The sequence below is a fragment of the Homo sapiens genome, chromosome 2, assembly GCF_000001405.40.
Source record: "Homo sapiens chromosome 2, GRCh38.p14 Primary Assembly".
Lineage (NCBI taxonomy): Eukaryota > Metazoa > Chordata > Mammalia > Primates > Hominidae > Homo > Homo sapiens.
Window position 1 is genome coordinate 148,639,516 of NC_000002.12, and position 19,172 is coordinate 148,658,687.

Below are 19,172 nucleotides of genomic sequence, written 5' to 3' on the forward strand. Positions count from 1 at the left end.
AATCAATTCACCGATTTTCTTCAATTCAGGATTCCAGCTGCATACGCCATTCACAAATCTGTGGTTATAAACATTTAATCTTTTGTTGGTGGTAGAGATTTAAAAAAATAGGTGAGAGGAACCATGTTTAGACGAGCAACCCAAGTTTCCTAACAATGGACTCCTCTTAGCTAACACTTGGACCCCAGTGAGCTTGGTGCTCTGAGCCTGCTTGTTGTCTGAGATGGGCCAGCAAAGTCAGTGAGACTGAACTGCCTTCACAGGGATTGAAACAACCTTCCAAGTTACCTTTCAGAGGTGCCTCAGGAGAACAGGATGCACCAATGGAGACAGAAACTGTGAAGAATATACATTTCAGGAGCCCTAAACCAACAGTGGGTGTGCATCTGTAGCCCCCAAAGCCCCAGGATCTCCACTCCAACACCCTTATGAAAATAATATGAATCATCCAGCTAGTTCCATGAATGTAATAGTGTCTTCAGCTGAATGACAGCTGTGCTGAATTTAGAGTGGGTTTCCTCCAAGTGTGGAATTTCTCAAGGGCAAGGTAGCTGGATTGGAAAGGATCCTATTTTTTAACCTCCCGTGGCCTTGCTCCAACAATTGTATTTCTGTTCCAAACTCGGTCATTTTTAAAACCTCACTATCATCCAATTTTATTAAAATAAGTACTTATTTTTAAAAATAATTATTTTACTTATTTTATTAAAACAAGTAGGCTCATATTCATCAGCTCAATGGAACCTAGTGCCTCTCAAAAATCCAAAGTCCAGGCCAGGTACGGTGGCTCACTCCTGTAATCCCAGCACTTTGGGAGGCTGAGGCAGGCAGATCATGAGGTCAGGAGTTCAAGACCAGCCTGACCAACATGGCAAAACCCTGTCTCTACTAAAAATACAAAAATTAGCCAGGCGTGGTGGCATGTGCCTGTAATCTCAGCTACTCAGGAGGCTGAGGCAGGAGAATTGCTTGAACCCAGGAAGCAGAGGTTGCAGTGAGCCAAGATTGCACCACTGCACTCCAGCCTGGGTGACAGAGACTCCATCTCAAAAAAAAAAAAAAAAAAAAGAAAGAAAAAAAAAATCCTGAAATTACATCTACATAGCTTGCTTGCTGTTTGGACACACATAACTGTCCAAGTCAGATTTGTTAGCTTCATCACAAGAGCTTTACTTATTTCTCTTATCCCCATCCAAAAGCCTGAGTGAGCAGCGTCAATCTATTCCAAATGTGGAGCACTGGTTGTGTTTTACGGTCCGGGTGGGGCAACAAATGAGACAGGCTGTCAGTGCAATTCAAAATTGGGTGTTGTGGACCCTCTGGAGCTGTGTGTTTTCAAATCTGTTTCTTTTTTTTTTAGTTACCAAAATGCAGAGCTTTCAGGCTGATTATTTTGGAGTCTATTTGGATCCTTTGTGGAGCTGGGAAGTAAATCGTCAGCTTATACACAAGGTGGCACCCTGTGATTCCAACCAGGTCTGAGAGGAGCGATGCTGCTAAGAAACTGAGCCACAGTCACAAATTTTTATTTACCATCTGCTATTCCCACGGTGGCAAATGCAGAGGTAGAAGTAGATGTTTGGCAGGTCACCTCTCAGTGTAGTCTCTGTCCCTATGTCTCAAAGATGCAGAGCTGCCTCAGAAAAGGGCACTGGAACCACAGAACTGATTCCAGTTGATTGTAATGAATGCAGACCCCACATTCAGATTACATATGGAAAACAACGAAGCTTTATTAGTACTAGGCTCATTCCTGGGAACATAAGGGGGAGGGGTGGAGATGCAGTTCACATACTAACCCAATTAACTTTCAAATGGTTTTGCTGAAACCAGGAGCCAATTAGAAAGAACGTGACATTTGCAAAACTCTGAAATAGTTGAATAGCAACTGTGTTTACTAGTTTTAAGATTCCTTTCAAAAAGTAATTTGTCCATTATTTGGAAGCTGCCTGCCTTGATTATAGTACTGGGAGATGGACACTGGAATGTAATCCTAATTCTAACAGTTATTTGACATTTATTCTAATTTAGACTACATTTAGACAGTGATTTTATTTTGATATGGCTTTAAACTGGTTTTAATTCTTGGGTGCTTATATATTATGCTTGCTGGGCTAAATGCATGTCATTTGGAATTGGTCTAGAGCATATCTGAAGTGGACTGATTTTAGAATGACTATACTTAGCGCATTGTATGTGGAAATTAAAATAGGCTATTAGGCTGCACACCCATTTGAGGCAGGTCTTGATAAAAATATTTCATGAGAGAATTTTTTATTTTATAAGAAGATATTTTTTGCTTTTAGCACTAACAATTATATGAGTATTCAACAAATCAATCAGAAATAAACTTTATGAAAAGTAATATTTATATACAAATAAAAGTTACTTTCCAAAAGTGAACAGTGGCATTCCGGTTTGGGCACTGAATTGGAAGCCAAGAAAACACAGGCTGTGTCTCCGTTGAAAAGTATATTGTGTTATTTGCCTTAAATGGTTTTATTCCCAGCTCTATAATCATTGCCTACAGGGTGAGAAGAAAATGGAGATTTGGGGAAGAAATCTTTTACATGGTCAAAGTAAAAGAACAACAAAGAAACAACCACAACAGCAAAAATCCCTTCCTATAAATTCCAGGTTTCAAAAAGGTGTTTTTGAATAACATTAATTGGTTCTAAAATCTCTATGCACAAAGGTACAAAGCTGGACAACAGGGTAGGCCACAGTAAGAACAAATATTGGCAGCAATAGCTAGGTCAGGTGACAGGCCAGTGAGGTATGTGAACTATAAACTAGAGTGGCATGGGGTCAGTATCAGTGAATTTCTTCATGGAATATCAGTCAACAAATATACTTTAGATGCCTGCCATATGTGAGGCATGGAACTGGGGATACAGTGATTGACAGACAGATGTTGTTCCTGCCCTCCTTGGTCTACTGCAACTTTAGGCTCTGGCTTATGCGCTCCCTTGGCCGTTGGTTGGAAGGTCTTAGTAACTAATTTTGAATTAGCAGCTTTAGAATGCTGACTGGTCAATAAGCTGAAGAGCTTGGATAGCAGGGTAGCACCACTGAGAAAACCAGAGTTTTGGAGTCAGGTCAGACCTGAATTTGAGCCCAGTTCTGCAAGTTGTTGGAATTGAAATTTGGCAAATTATCTGATGCTCAGTTTTCTTATTGGTAAAATTATATTTTTTCATAAAATTATAATAAGAATTAAGTGGAATTCAACTAGTTGAGATAATATATATAACATGTTACTACAATGGATGGTATATTACACATACTTGATATTTCCTTTTCTGAGAGAAACAGTAAAACTAAACATAGGGACTAGAAGAAAGCTATCCTTTCTGAACCTGAGGAGGGCTGGGCATCCAGATGAAAGCTCTGGATGACTCATTTCTTCAACTATTGCTTTTTTCTTCCCTTTCAGGCTTGAACCCAGTGCTGACCCCCTCCCAAGAACTTCTTGTTCTTGCTTCCAGAGGATTGGAACTGTTCCAGGGGTAGCACTTAGAGAGCAGGACATGCCCATAAGCTTGAGGAAGGTACTGCTTACAAGAAATGAGTCACAGCAACTCCATTGCTTCCAACAACAAAGTGGATGAAAAACACTCAAGCCCCACTAAACAATACTCGGAGTTTTGCTGCGACAGACTGGTTAGACTATTTGGACACTACCATGAAGACTATATCCACCATTCTGCCTTCAAAGGAGGAGACTGCAGAGAGAAAAGGGGAAGAGGAACAGGAGGAAAAAGGGGGAGGGGAGGAAGTGGAGGAGGGGAAGAAGGACGTAATAGAGGAAGAGATATAGTTTTATTGTCACATAGAAATGACAGTAGGAATCAATTTTTTCACTGTTGGTCTTTAGGAAATCATCTGACTTTCTCTGAGTTAGAGTATGATCGATTATTAGAAAATGGTAAAATGTGTTAAAAACTCTCTTTGTACGGTTTTGTGAGAAATGTGTAATGCTTAAAGACTAACCAAGAGCCTCTTGGCTAAACCAGGTTGATGTCAACAATAGCTAGTACTTATTTGAGTCACCTTGATTTTCCCTCCTCTTGAGAACTTTCTCTAACCAGTTTAGGCTGCAGTCATGCCTCCTTTCCTTTCTCTGAACTCTCACAATTATTGCCTAGATCTCGTTTGGTAATTAATCATGTGCTACTTACTGCCTGTGTCATCTCTTGTATTGTTTTCTTAAAATATTTACACTTTTTTTTCGGTTGTCACTTATCTTTCCAGCTGTCATTTTCTTCAACTATTTACGTCTCTGTTACTCATCTTTCCAGCCATCCTGGCATCCCATTAAGGTGAAAGCTCTCTGAGGCAGGAACCTTTTCTCAGATTTCTTCGAGTCTTCCACAGCACCCCACATTTGACACACATCTGCTACTTCGCAAATGTGTGCTGCCTTGGCTAAATTTTTAGAAGCTGAACTTTTAGGAAAGCTACTATTTTTGAACTCAGAAAAATACCTACCATCCACTAAACAGCTGTACCGAAGTTTGGGTGACAGGGAACCTAAGTTCACTTGTTGCATCTGGCAGCCTCAAACCATGAACCCTCACTGCAAAGCGAGGATGAACGCGCTGCTGCACCTTGGAGAGCTCTTTCGGACAGGTACGGAGGGGAGGGCGTAGAAGAGGGCTGGCACCAGCAGCGCGGTCCAGTCCTCCGAACGGACTGATGGGACTGATGGGAGAGACCTCTTGCACCTCTCGGGGATGTGCGCCTCGGAGGATGCGAATTAGCTTGCGCACAGGGCGCCTTGGGGATAGCGCTGTCCAAGTACAGGCTTGGGTGATGGCTGGTGGGGTCCGGGTCGACATTTTCCCTTCCCGCTCCCGGACTTCTGCACACACGCGCTGCTCGGCGCAGCCGTCTTTGCCCGGCGCCTTCCTCCGGGACACCCAGCGAGAGGGGTGACCGGGCGGCGGCGGGAGAGGCGCACGCTCCCGGGCGCGGGCGAACTTGCGCACCTGGCACCTGCCACACAGCGAAAGCACCGGCCAGCGAGCGGAGGGGCGCCGCCCCCGCCCCCTCTCCCCGGAGCGGACCGAGACCGAGCACGCTCCCGCGGGCCGGCAGCGCCGCGGAGAGAGTGGGTGGGCAGGCGAGGGAGGGGAAGGGAGAGGAAGGAGGGAGGGAGGGAGAGGGCGAGGCGCGTTCCCGCGACGGGGGCGCGCTCTCGCGCGGGCTGCCGGGATCGCTCGCCGCCGCTGTGGTAATGTCCGCCATGTTGGCCATGGCGCAGGGAGCGGATCGGGCGGGCGAGCGGCGGATCTAGTGTGTGGAGGCGGCCGCGGGCGCGGGGGGCTGTTTTCGGGCGGGGTGGGCGCCCATGCTGTGGCCGGGGGCAGTGAGGAGGAGGAGGAGCGGGCCGGCCGCGCTGCACTGAGGAAGGAGGTGGAGGAGGCGGCGGGAGTCCTCCCCCCCTCCCCGCCCGCCCCGCCGCCGCCGCCCGGGCTGTTCCTGTAAGGCGGGGAGACAATGAGTAAACTCTCCTTCCGAGCGCGGGCGCTGGACGCCGCCAAGCCGCTGCCTATCTACCGCGGCAAGGACATGCCTGATCTCAACGACTGCGTCTCCATCAACCGGGCCGTGCCCCAGATGCCCACCGGGATGGAGAAGGAGGAGGAATCGGTAGGGACTCGAGTGTTTATTACCCCCCCTTCCCTCCTCCCCCCTCCCCTTTGTCAGTCGGGCCTCGCCATTCACAGAGCGCTTTACGCTCGCTGGAGGGCGCCGCTGCCGCTCTAACGCACGGGACTCTACGCCGGCGGAGTAGCGTAAACCCTCTCGGCCGGCGTAGCGCCCGCCCGCGGCCGCCATGTTGTTGCGTCCCAGTGTTGTGATTAGCTCGCAGCGCTGCTTACGCTGCCGTAAGGGGGCCTTGCCGTAAGCGGCGGCCGGGAATGGCGCAGGGGATGCGCTGGCCGCTCTTGGCGTACGGTCTCTGTTTACCTTTCCACCTCCCTCTCTCAGGCGCGGGGCTAATTAATGGCGTGGTATTATTTGGCTAGGCAAGATTATTATTTTTTCCACTTTTAACTTTGGCTTTGTATTGAGTTCTCTTTGAAATGACTGTGGAAGGGTGCTTTCAAAACAAACATCTTCCTCCCAGCAATGTAATCATCCTGGCTCCCCCGCCCGCGAAGGTGCAGCGGGATGAGGCGGTGCAGCACTGCGGCGGGGGAGGGCGGGGGCCACGACTACCGAGCGGGTCGTAGCGTCCGAGGGCCGCCCGCCGGCCAGTTCTGCCGACCCGAGCCGGGCGCGGGGCGGACGGGCTCTGCCTGCTCCGCCTGGACGGCCGTGCTCCGTGCGCAACGTTAGAGAGGAGCCGGGGATGCCCGGAAGCGAGCCGCCGGCGTTGCGTTGTCCTCGAGAATTGTCATTGCGAGGTGGTCCTTAGAAGTTGAGGACCTAGTGCATCTAAATTGGCAGTTGTAATTTTGATAATACAGCACCTTTTGGGAAAATTGCTGCTTTTCCTCCGATGGGTTAAATTTTGCAGACGGTTGGATTTCATCTGGCTTGACAGAGAGTGTTTATGACTCGAGTGGTGTTACTTGCGTGCGAAGTTCATAGTAACTGCACCCTCAAGAATTTCTTCAATGAACCTACAGTCCCGCCTTATTGTCAACCTCGGGTGTGTGTGGATTGGTTCTCTTGCTTCAGTGACTGTCAAAAGGAAGCTCGAGGTTTCAGTGATTGGTTTTCTCTTTTGACTATTAATATTGCAGGAAATGCTTTTATGCCTTCGATTGGCTGGTTGAGTTCTGACCTCATTATGTTACCCTGTTAATACTACTTTGCTCTTATTTAATCACATTTCTCTTTGATGTATAGTTACTTGAAAGTCTTACATTTTCAGTAGAAAATGCATATGGCCGTAGCATCGGGATGAACTTAACTGTGTGTGTACACACACAAATATGTAATAGATATATATACACGCACATACACATATATATTTGTGTGTGCATATATATAAATATGTTTATAATCAAAACCCAGCATTTATCCCTAAGGTTTAGAGCTGTGAGAACTTTTTTTTTTGTATGTGAGAACTTTTTTTTTTAATTTGTTTCTAACGACTCAGTTTTCCATGGGAAGGAAAATTAAAATAAAATCATATTATATACAATAGTTAATTACATTGAACCCTAATAAGCACAACTTTGGATATTTTTGCTATTTTGTGGGTCTTGATCCAAAGAAAGATGGCCTTAAAAGTACCAGTATTGTGTGTAATTACTTTGATCCTATTATTTTAGAACTTGAGTCAAATCTGTTCTAGGCCGGGCACGGTGGGTCACGCCTGTAATCCCAGCACTTTGGAAGGCCGAGGTGGGCGGATCATGAGGTCAGGAGTTCGAGACCAGCCTGGCCAGTATGGTGAAACTCCGTCTCCACTAAAAATACAAAAATTAGCCGGGCCTGGTGGTGCGCGCCTGTAATACCAGCTACTCGGGAGGCTGAGGCAGAAGAATTGCTTGAACCCGGGAGAAAGAGGTTGCAGTGAGCAGAGATCGTGCCACTGCACTCCAGCCTGGGGGACAGAGCGAGACTCCGTCCCCCCCAACAACAAAAAAAAGGAAATCTGTTCTAGAGTGAACAGTTAACTCCTGGAAGGTATATTACTTTTTGCAATCACCAACATACGTGGTCCTTAGTATGCCACATATGTTTTGGTATTTTAATTTAGTAAGATAACTTAGAGTAATTTTTTCATGCTTCATTAAAAATAAAAGTGCTTAACTCGTGTTGCAATTTTTTGTTTATTTGTTTTTTGAGATGGAGTTTAGCTCTTGTCGCCCAGGCTTGATTGCAATGGCGCGATCTCGGCTCACTGCAACCTCCGCCTACCAGGTTCAGGTGATTTTCCTGCCTCAGCCTCCCGAGCAGCTGAGATTATAGGCGCCCACTACCTCGCCCAGCTAATTTTTGTATTTTTAGTAGAGTCGGGGTTTCACCATATTGGCCAGGCTGGTCTCAGACTCCTGACCTCAGGTGATCACCCGCCTCGGCCTCCCAAATTTCTGGGATTACAGGTGTGAGCCACTGCGCCTGGCCGCGCCTTGCAGACTTTTTTTTTTTTTTTTTTTTTTTTTTTAATTTATTACCGAGTCTAGCTCTGTCGCCAGGCTGGAGTGCAGTGGCGCGATCTCAGCTCACTGCAACCTTCGCCTCCCGGGTTCAAGTGATTCTCCTGCCTCAGCCTCTCAAGTAGTTGGGACTACAGGCACGTGCCACTATGCCCAGCTAATTTTTGTATTTTTAGTAGAGACGAGGTTTCACCGTGTTGGCCAAAATGATTTCGATCTCTTGACTCTTGCTCCACCTGCCTCGGCCTCCCGAAGTGCTGGGATTGCAGGCGTGAGCCACCGTGCCCTGCCGCGCCTTGCAATTTTTTTATTAGCTCTTTTAGAAAGAATTATTTTCAAACTAGAGCATGAGTGCTAAACTTGGATACTTTTCAGTAGCCTACTTCAATTGCCCAATTTTAAGGAAGAAGAAATCCAAATTCTGATAAAACTAGAGTTGAAACCCAGAACCTCTGATTCTTTGTCCTGTCCTTTCTGCCTCTTTAATACATGCTAAAAGTGGAGATTCTTAAAATCAAAATTAAGCAAACCGTAACAGTTAAGATTTATAGTCTGAAATCTTTTGCTTCCCAGAGTGTCCAATTGGAGTATTAGTTTTTCTTTTTCTTTCTTTTTTAAATATGTATGTCAGAAGACTTGTGTTTTCATGAGTGACAGCAAATTCATTTCTCTGGTCTTACAGGACTTCTGTTATTAAACAGAATTATGTATTTATAAAAATGGTTCTGCCTTGATAAATATTTCTAAGCAGCAGTAAAATGTCATACATTTCACAAATGTTTTGTGTTTCACTTGAATTGCATTTTAAGTAACTTTCAATATCTAGATGTCCTTAACTCCTTATTTTTATAAGATTTTTTTCTTTTAAATCAGTAGGCTTGTAACAAACAAACCAACCTTGGCTTACGGATTCACAATTGTTGCTGGGTGTCTCTGAACTGTGCTGTCCTGCTTGGTTGGCAAAATCTTTTGAAGCCTTCATGGATGGCTTTTTCCCATTCCCCCTCTATCCCCACCCACCCTTAAAATTAAGGCCTGTCTCTTCTGTGTAGCTATTGGACTATCATTAGACTTCGTTTATATAAACAAAGTCATTATTCAAGTTCGAGTTACATTCTGACTGAGTTACATTCTGACAATGCCTGGATGAGGTGATTTAGGTGTTCTTGGGCATTGGTAACATTGTATCATTGATAATCATGTCATCCTGTGTAGCCTCTTCTTTTGGACATCCAAACATCTTTTACTTCTTTTCTTCCCTATCCTTATTATCATTGTCCTCTGCTAAGAGCTGCCAGTTGGCATCCTCCTTTAACTTGGTCTTTGTAATGCTCCTCACGGCACTTGGTCTAGGTCAAGTACTGTACACTTATGTTTATTTAGAATTTAGACCAGAAAGATCAGGCAGCCAGCGGTTCTGCCGCCTCCCCATGAGTGTTGTATAGTGGTAGTTGATGTTTTTACTAATACTTGCCATTTACTGAATACTTCATATATCCGAGATACTGTGTTAAGGGCTTTACATATATTATTTCATTTAATCCTTTTTTTAAATAAACTTTTTTTGAAGTATACTTTACATACAAAAAAAGTACCTATATACAGTGTGGAGTTTGATGAATTTTGACAAATGCATACAAACATGAAAACAAGATATAGAACATTTCCAACATTGGAGAAGTTCCCTTGTGCTCCTTTGCAACCAGTCCCTTTCCACTCCTAGTCCAAGCAATTGTTGATTTGTTTTGTTTTACTGTAGATTAGGTTGCCTTTTCTACAATTTCATATAAATGGAATCATACATACTTTTTTATGTCTAGCTTCCTTTGTTCCGTACGATGCATTTAAGATTCATCCTTGTTGTATGAGTCTGTTCCTTTATATTGCTGAGTAGTATTCCAGTGAATTTGGTATGCTATCTTTATGCATCTCTCTGATTTTTTAGTTGTTTCCAGTTTTTGATTATCATTTAATTCTGGTAACAGCCCTGTGAGGTATTACCATTTCTGTTTTATAGAGGAAAAGCTGAAAGGTCTTGCTGCTAGTGCAGGGCTGAAATTCAGACCCTTGACATTGGTGTCACAAAAGCATATACTCATAGTCACCATGCTGCATATTCAGGGTTCTTACAGAATCCAGAGTTATCTTCTGAACTGTGATTAAGTTCATTATAGCTTTTGTAAATAATATTTTACTTTTTATAACTTTGGAAACCTTAGAAGTTGCCAATTTGGTTAGACTGTTAAATTATTAAGAAGTGTAGTTTTTTCATTACTTAATTTGGTCTGACTTTTGCTCTTGGGTTTTCAGATTTTCTTTCTTTTTTCTTAGCAGTTTGTGAACTTTGCTTTCCCCTGTATTGGCACCATTATATTTATCCCACTGTTTATGTTATCTTAAGCATATAAGAAATTTGTGGGAAACTGTCCCATTTTATTGTTTAGATTTTTCTCCTGCTAGGATATAATGTCTCTAAGGGCAAAGATCTTTGCTTATTTTGCTCATTAATATATTCCAAGTGCCTGGAACTGTGCCTGGCACATAATACATGCTTGCAAAATGTTTGTTGAGTGTTGAATGGGCTTCTATTTCTTTTTCTGTTCCAAGAGCTATATTTGTGTCTTTTCTCCCCCTCCCCCAATATCTATCTATATATAAAATTTATTAGCAGCATTTGATAAAGTCTTCTTCCAGGAATTCTTTTTGGTTGCTTACTTTGGTACTATGTATATCTAAATATTATATCCTCTTTTCCTCTTGAGTCAGAGGCCTCTTTAAATATAGAATCTTTTCACACGCCGATATGGTTGTAATGATAAATCTTTATCTTGTTTTAAGTAACTCTCATAGGTGTGTGTAGATTTCTGTGAGATACTTTTTCATACCAGAATGTACCAGTCTACATGAATCATGTGATTCACCTTATTTTTAAAGAAGATCCATGACTAATTTGAATTGCCATATCTCCTCTCATATGTTGTCTAATTTTTGCCGTTATGTTAATATTTTAAGTGATATTTTGAATTGATACAGTAGGAATATAATCCTGATTGATACCTTTTCAGAATTACTATTGGCACTAATATATTTCATGTTTCATAATGGAGAGGGTATAAAATGCAGTTTTGTAAGTTGATACTGTAAAAACATGAAGCATTTCTTCTTCTAACAAAAGCAAATGACATGCCAGGTATTATCTAAATGCCAGTTGTTATCTAAATAAGATATTGGGAAACTAAAGTGTTCTGTATAGGAAAAGTATGTGTAAGGCCGTGTACTGAAATGTTAGGAATAAAAGAAGATGCAGACTTCAATTTCATAGAACTTAAATGAACCATTAAGTCCAAAAACATGTATCTGGAAAGTTAGCAAAAACTACAGGGTTAAGACAACCTGACAGACATCAAAAGAGCATTAGAGAAAGTTAAATGTTAGTGTAGTTGAGAGGCATGAGGTGATTCATTGCATGTCATAAAGAAGGCTTCTTGGAGAGAGGCGTAACAATTTGGGCTTTCAGGTTTGGTTGTATGGTGTATGTTGAAGCAAATATTTGAGCATAAGAATATCTAAAGGAAGTTCTGAGGATGCTGAGTAGACCAAAGGAAGGTTCTTCCATGTTAGATGCTTTCTGTCAATCATTTCCTATTCTTCCTGCTAATAGAAACTTTAGGAGGATAGCACTCTGATGTTGCTGACCATATCATTCCCCTGTTTTCGTTCGGACATGCAGACATCTTTTGCTTCTGTCTTCCCCTTCATTTTATCCCTGTTACATCTTCAGCACTAAAAACCGTTTAAAACATAGAAGCACTCAGTAAATATTTGGTGAATGAAGGAGTAAAAATAGGGGTGGAGATTAGGTTGGAAAAAAGGTAGAATTAGACTAAATTATAGGCAGTTTTGAATGTTAGGCCTAGGAGTTTGTAGGGTGGTATAGATGAAAGACCACTGAAGTATGATTCTGGAGTTTTTGTTTCTAGTTCTGGTTGTCATGGATTAACCCATTTATGCCTAAGTGGGTTAAATGGCCATATAATTTGGAAGTTGCTTAGCTTTTCTGAGCCTCAGGTTGTTCATCACTACTATCTCAGCTAACATTTGAGTGTGTGTTGTTGAGTGTTTGAGCATGTGCCAGGCACTTTGTTAAACTTAATAGATGGTTTAGAGTTGATTTTAAGAGTAGGACATATAGGTGTTACTACTTCTTTTTCAGAGGAAGAAACTGAAACTTTAGAAATTAAGTAACTCGCCTAAGATCATCCGTCTAAAAAAGAACATGCTAGAGCCAGAATTTGCACTCAGGCTGATTGACTCTGGGGCTCTTGCTTCACCGTTGTACTGCTTCATCTGTAAAATGAATGGGTTGAGAACTAGAAGATATCTAAGGTCCTTTATAGCTTTACTGTTCTATCATTTATTTTCCCATTTAAAGTTCAAAATTCCAGATTCTTGAGATAGAGAGCGTTATTGGTCTGGCTTGCATCAGGTATCTACCTCTGAGTCTGCCATTCAAAGAGAAGGGGAAGTTAGTATACCTATGTTGAGAAGTGTTACCCTCTCAGCTGGAGAGCTGCCCTGAGAGATCTGCTACCGATGGTAATATAGCATGATCAAAAGTTAGGAAGTTAAAGTGTTAAATCATTTTAATCCATGATTTGTCCCAAGGTGAATTTGTATACTTAGTGTGTTTTTACAAACCATAAATTTGTAAGATGTTTTAATGAGCTTAGAATAATTTGTATGTGTTATGTTTTAAATGAAATTTGAATCAAAGACTGTAAAAGAAGTCTCCAGTGTCCTTTTAAAAAAAAGCAAACTCTTCACACTTATTAATTTTCAAAGTTGTAAGGGATGAGTTTTGTTTGACCGCGTAGAAATTATTTAACCTTCCTGGCCCTTAGTTTTCTCATTTGTGAAATAGAATTGGACTGAGTGACCTTTAAAGTACCTTTGACTCTAAAAATTACTTGAACCTCTGAAACCGCATGTCTATCTACTGGCATATTGTCCAGGATTATAATTAGATGAAAAGAACTAACAAATGTGACATTAAATATTGGGAAGAAATTAATGCTTAAGGTTTAACTCTTTAATACTGCTGAGATCCTGTCAATTTGGCTTATCGTTCTTTTATGAGGATCGATTATATTCGTCCTCTATCTAATATTAATTTTTCCTAGAGCCTAGTAGAGCAATCCATTCTGTGTATGTTTTGGTTATGATCATCTTGCTTTCATGAAATTTTCTTCACTTTACTAGGCTTACTCATTGCTGTAAGTATTCTGAAGTTCAGTAGTACTTTTAGTCTTTACCACTTGAGTTTATTTTAATTTTCTAGTATCATTTTTCTCACTTGAGTGTGTGTGTAATGGTGTGTGTGTGAATTTTATATATGTATGAAAAAGAGCATGTGCACGAGAGAGAGTAGACACTTATTTCCCCAACAAGACTAAATGTCTTGAGGGAAGGTATCATGTGTGTTTTATTCAGTACCCAAGACAGGCAGGATAGCAATCCAGGTACTTCTGTCACTTTCTGTCTTAAGTGATAAAAAGTTTGTAATACAGGCACTTAGCATGTTGCTGGTCACTTGGATTGAGTTTCGTTGTATTGGTAAACAATGCAGCTCTGCATCTTCATTTAGTTTTAAGTAGAGTTGAAGTAGAAAAACAGTAATGGGTGTGTAGAGACAGCATGAGGAGGAGAGGCTGATAGGAATAAGCCCTGAAGGAGACCAATGCAGATGGCAGAAGGTCCATCATGATTATTTGATTTTAACTTAAAGTTGATCATCGATTATTTGCCTTGTCTATACTATTTAAATGGGACAGAGCTTTAAATTTACATATTCTATCATGCAGAACCGCTTCTTACAGGGTTAACACTGTGGAGGAAGATGCCAGTCACTTCCAGTTTCTCCTCAGCAGTTTCATTGTATCTGTCTTCTTTTAGGTTTTTTGTTTTACTGTAAGCAGCTGTTGCTATAAAGTCAGAGGAATGCAGACTGGAGAGTCAGCCTATCTGCTACCTCTCTTAACTCCTATCTTTGCTTCCCTGCTTGCTTGCTTTTTTTTTTTTAAATGGGCTAAGGACGTGTCTCATGTCTTGGTTGGGGAGTCAACAAGCAGCATTCAGTTTTGCTGCTAATTTGGTGAAGTTGTTGGAACTTTGAAATTGTGATTTAGGTTCCAATCCTGGCCTCTGCCACTTGCCTTATGGGTGAGGTAAATTACTTAACCTCATTGAGCCCCATTTCCTCATCTGTTTAATAAGTATCTGAAAAGTTAGTTTTAAAGATTACTTTTTTTTTTGTTTTTTTTTTTTTTGGAGACAGGGTCTTGCTCTGTCACCCAGGCTGGAGTGCAATGGCGCGATCTTGGCTCACTGCAACCTCTGCCTCCCTGGTTCAAGTGATTCTCCTGCCTCAGCTTCCCAAGTAGCTTGGGACTATAGGCACACGCCACCACGCCCAGCTAATCTGTGTATTTTTAGTAGAGATGGGGTTTCACCATCTTGGCCAGAATGGTCTTGATCTCTTGACCTCGTGATCTGCCTGCTTCTGCCTCCCAAAGTGCTGGGATTACAGGTGTGAGCCACCATGCCCGGCCAAGATTACATTTTTTTGTAAAAACTTAAGTCTGTGTCTTATAGGCAACACTCATTTTTTTGGTAACAATTTTCACTTATACAGGATAACAAATATGAAGGTTGATGGAAGAGTAAAATGTAGAGTATTCCCATACATTATTCTGTGATAGAGTTTCACATTTTTTCTCATGCCAATTAAACATTTTTACAGCTTGAGGCCAGGAGTTTTGAGACCAGCTTGGGCAACATAGTATGGCTTCGTGTCTACAAAAAATAAAAACATCAGCTGGGTGGAGTGGCATGTACCTGTAGTCTCAGCTACTTAGGAGGCTGAAACTGGAGGATTCCTTGAGCCCGGGAATTCAAGGCTGCAGTGAACTGTGATAGCGCCACTGCACGCCAGCCTGGATGACAGAGTGAGACTGAGGCCCTGTCTCTTAGAAACAAACAAACAAAAAGAGAGAGCGCTTTCAAACATTACAAGTTAATATGTGTGTTTTCCTCCTTCCTTCTGTTTTCTGGCACAGCAGTTGACAAGCAAATTGATTTTAAAAACTAAAGACCTTGAAAATTTTTTGCTAAGAGAACTAAATCTTCACTTAATCCGTAGAGTAATAATTGGGCCCTGAATAATTAATAAATATTGTTTTTGTTCCTCAGAATGATTTTTTTTAGGTTAGATGATTAGTTAGTTATGGGAAAGATAAGTTTTAGTGATGAAAATCTATGCAGTGGGTGTTGTACACTAGAGAAGTGAATAGAGACATTCCAGTATACCATTGAATTCTTGGATGAACACTTTTGTTTGGAAACTTTCAAAAGTATGGTATTGATGAGGGTAGTCATGCCATTTATTTGATTCTTGAGATGTTTCTCAACTGGGGCACTATTAGCATTCAATTTGTAGTTGGTTGTATGAGACGGTCACTGGCAAAACAAGTTTATTACATCTATCTTCTGCCCATTAATTTCTGGAACTTTCTAGTTGGAATAACCCCAAAATGCTTCCTCCTTCAATTTCCAAGTGAAGGGTATTGGCATCTGATTTGAGAATTATGATCCAGGGCTTCTTAACCTTTTTTTGGTGACATGGACTCTTTTGGCAGTCTGTTGGAACTCCTCAGAATGATGCCATAAATGCATAAAATAAGGTCAGATAAATCAATTGTATTGAAATAAAGTTATCAAAATAAACAATTTTTAATATGTGTACTTTATTAGCACATTAAGTACAGAATCTACAGTTGGATCTAGTTATTGTAAATTCAAAATAATGATAAATATAAACGGTATTTTGACATAATTTGACGTGAAAAGATCTAGGATTTCTGTTGGTATTGCTAGTACTACTGTGGTCTGTTGTCTACATTAGGAATTGAAGGAAATGTTAAATTTGTTAGAAGTTTATGTTTTCTCATCCAAGTTCATGGACCCCTTAGTTCTTTCTATGGATGTTTTGGGAACCTACGACCTGAGGTTCAGAAATCTTCAGGAGAATTTCCATGGCCCAAATGGCAATCTCATTCCTGTGTCGTCCTTGTCTCAAAAGCATACAGGCTGCAGATTTTATTCCCATTACTATACAGGAGATGGTACTATAGACAGAATTGTCTTATTTTCACATTTAGCACATTTACTACTAGCTTTTTAAAATTGAAAAATAATAGATCCACATGATTTAAATATAAAAATTTAACAGCACAAAAGCATATACATAAAAAGTGTCTTTCCTTCCTCAAGTTCACAGACACGCTACAGAGGCAGCTGCTGTTAGCTGTGTGTGTGTGTGTGTGTGTGTGGGGGGGGGGGGGGTTATTCTAGAAAATTTCTAGACAAAGGCTTTTTTACTCGGTAAAGTAACCAAGTAATTCTCTTATACTCATTTTGTAAGTGAGTAATATGTGATCCTAAAGTTAGCTTTTTAATCTAGAGTTACAAGGTCAGGCAATTTTGATTTTCAATTCCTTCCCTTTAACATCTCTGAGGAATTGAGAATTAGCAGAATGTAGCTTTCTGTTGATTGTTTGTAGTTTGGATAGCAAACCTTAACCCGTCATTCCTAAGTGGCAGTTTGGTTGTCAGCAAAGCCTTGCATTGTGCATAGGACTTTATTTATTGCATTGTGCATAGTGCTTGTATTCCTATTTTTATACCAAAAAAGTCAGATTAATTATTAAAAATGTGACTTGTCAGTGTTTTTACTGTAATATTTATTTATGACCTCAAGTAGTAACTTGAGTCAGAAGAGCAACAATAATATACTCTTTTGAAGAAAGCCATCCTATTCAGGTATCATGTTGGCAAGCCAGATATTTCATATGGACTGCACTGTCTCCTACTGTCACTGTAGTTGTTTGTGATGTTTATTCATTCAGTAACTTAGCCTCATAAGCACAGGGACCTTTTCTTTGTTACCTTTGTATACTCCATCATTTGGTATAGATGGCATATTGGTATTTGCTCAGTAAATATTTGTGACTGAATGTACAGCACCTTCTATGTGCTTTAGACGCAGAAAGGAGTAAGATGTACCCATTCACAAGCAGCTTATTGCTTAGTAGGAGAGAAAGGAGTTTTACACAGATGAACACATTTTAAGGTGTTAATGTGGAAAATGAAAATGATACTGTGGAAATTTATATCATGAAGGACATGATTTGAACCAGAGTTTAAATATCAATTCATGTAATAGCTAATTGACTATAATGTACTATTGAATTAGTTTTTACAGATTAGTCTTGAAATGATTCCTGTATGCCAGAATGCCATGAGTTTTTTTTTAGATGCCTGTTGTTACGCTCATATAGGGAAGTGTATGACACCCAGTAGAGTTATTAAGAGAGTTGAAACAGTTTTGGGATCTAGTGTAGAGTCACCTTTTAGGACGGGCAAAATTGTATTATAAACAGTGCCTATTGAACGAATTTGGAAGAACAGAAACTGTTACGGAGGATGGACTAAAGAAACAGTGCTGCTTGATTATTAATCAAGTAATGCATAGATTTTACTTAATTTTGGCTTAAAGTGATGGGTCACTTTCTGTAAAAGCCAAGTACTTGGAAGAAGATTGTTTATACATTATAGGTGCTTGGTCAGTAGGAGTTTATTTGAAATAGCCTAGCCACCTTGCAAAATTCATCAAGGCTTTCAAAATACCTCCCACAAAAATTTCCAAAGATATAGGTCAGTGATTCTCAAGCTTTAGCATGCTTCAGAATCACCTAGAGGGCCTGTTAAAACAGAGATCAGTGGGTCTTATTCCTCTTAGTGTCTGATTAAGTCTAGAATAGGGCCTGGGAATTTGCATTTTTAAGAAGTTCCCAGGTGATCCTGGTGCTGCTTGTCCAAGGACCCAACTTTGAAAACCAGCAGTTTGAGAGGTAGTATTGTAGTTCTTATCTTGGCCACACACCAGAATATCTAGGATGCTTTTATAAAGTACACTTAAAAGCTTTATCCTAGATCTACCAACCAAATCACAAGTTAGGGGTGATTCTGGATTCAGTAGAATTGATTTGTCTAGGTAGAAAAAAGGGATTGGCGTGTGTGCCCATGATCCATGCCTTTCTGCCTTACCATTTTACCACACCTTTCAGGGCTTCTTTCCTTGTGGTCTAATTTATTGGCTTTCAAATGTTTTTTTGACTATCACTCATTTTGTGTGTGTGTGTGTGTGTGTGTAACTGAAATAAAGTGCACTTTGACAGACATATCTATATTACACATATACCAATACAGTTGATTTTCATTATTCGAGATAGTTATGTTCTGTTATGTTGCCATGAGCACGAATTATTTAATACCTAAGCCATTGCTCCAAGGGACATAATAGGGTTAAGTTCTCGCTAGACCCTGGTCACAACAGTTTCATCTGCTGATCAGTTTGTAACTTTGTTTTATGTATGTTTCTGTTTTTAAATTGTGTATTTAAAATACATTGTTGATTCATTGACATTGAACTCACAGCCGGCAGCATTGTAACTCATGTCTGAAGGAAGCTTATGTTACACATGTATTTTCTCCATGAGGCACATGACAGTCTTCTTGTGCTGAGGAACACCGGACTGCACTTCAGCACCATACTCGGGGGCACCTTTAGACAGTGAAATTACCCACAAAAGGCATAAAAATGTGAAAAACATGGTACAAGTAGAACATGAAAAGGATGCTTGTTTATAGTATGAGAGTTGAAACAAGATGTCAGAGTGTCACCTTGTTTGACCTCAGCTGGGAGTATATGTCAGGTGGGCAACTCAAATATTTCACTGTTCTGCACGTGTCTGCAAGTGACTGAGAAACTGTCACAAATAAAATTTAGCAAGTAGGCGAATTTGCAAATAGGGAATTTGCAAGTAATGAAGATTAGCTGTGTGTGTGTGTGTATATATATATATATATATATATATGCATTTTTCCCTTTTCAGTTCTATTTTGTTAAAAATAATTTTGGTCATGAGCTAC

General features: G+C 40.8%; 1 protein-coding gene across 2 annotated transcripts in view, besides 6 other annotated features; it reads left to right on the forward strand.

Moving 5' to 3' along the window:
* Positions 4,890–5,469: a silencer, noted in NCBI's record as "silent region_11999". NCBI's record gives its function as "represses an Ori minimal core promoter by ATAC-STARR-seq in GM12878 lymphoblastoid cells {active_cell/tissue: GM12878}" and the evidence as "EXISTENCE:reporter gene assay evidence [ECO:0000049][PMID:35858748]".
* Positions 4,890–5,813: a biological region, named in NCBI's record as "H3K27ac hESC enhancer GRCh37_chr2:149402393-149402897".
* EPC2 (enhancer of polycomb 2) overlaps positions 5,236–19,172 on the forward strand; it is a 142,819-nt gene continuing 128,882 nt past the window's right edge. For both annotated transcript variants that reach the window (NM_015630.4, XM_011510941.3), the window contains exon 1: positions 5,236–5,655. In NM_015630.4, coding sequence (NP_056445.3) covers positions 5,503–5,655 — 153 coding nt within the window. In that variant the 5' untranslated portion in view covers positions 5,236–5,502. The remainder of the gene's footprint in view (positions 5,656–19,172) is intronic.
* Positions 5,309–5,813: an enhancer, noted in NCBI's record as "H3K27ac hESC enhancer chr2:149402393-149402897 (GRCh37/hg19 assembly coordinates)". NCBI's record gives its function as "activates a minimal SCP1, AML or CMV promoter by ChIP-STARR-seq in primed H9 embryonic stem cells {active_cell/tissue: H9 hESC(primed)}" and the evidence as "EXISTENCE:reporter gene assay evidence [ECO:0000049][PMID:30033119]".
* Positions 6,230–6,319: a silencer, noted in NCBI's record as "silent region_12000". NCBI's record gives its function as "represses an Ori minimal core promoter by ATAC-STARR-seq in GM12878 lymphoblastoid cells {active_cell/tissue: GM12878}" and the evidence as "EXISTENCE:reporter gene assay evidence [ECO:0000049][PMID:35858748]".
* Positions 6,410–6,559: an enhancer, noted in NCBI's record as "active region_16620". NCBI's record gives its function as "activates an Ori minimal core promoter by ATAC-STARR-seq in GM12878 lymphoblastoid cells {active_cell/tissue: GM12878}" and the evidence as "EXISTENCE:reporter gene assay evidence [ECO:0000049][PMID:35858748]".
* Positions 13,896–13,985: an enhancer, noted in NCBI's record as "active region_16621". NCBI's record gives its function as "activates an Ori minimal core promoter by ATAC-STARR-seq in GM12878 lymphoblastoid cells {active_cell/tissue: GM12878}" and the evidence as "EXISTENCE:reporter gene assay evidence [ECO:0000049][PMID:35858748]".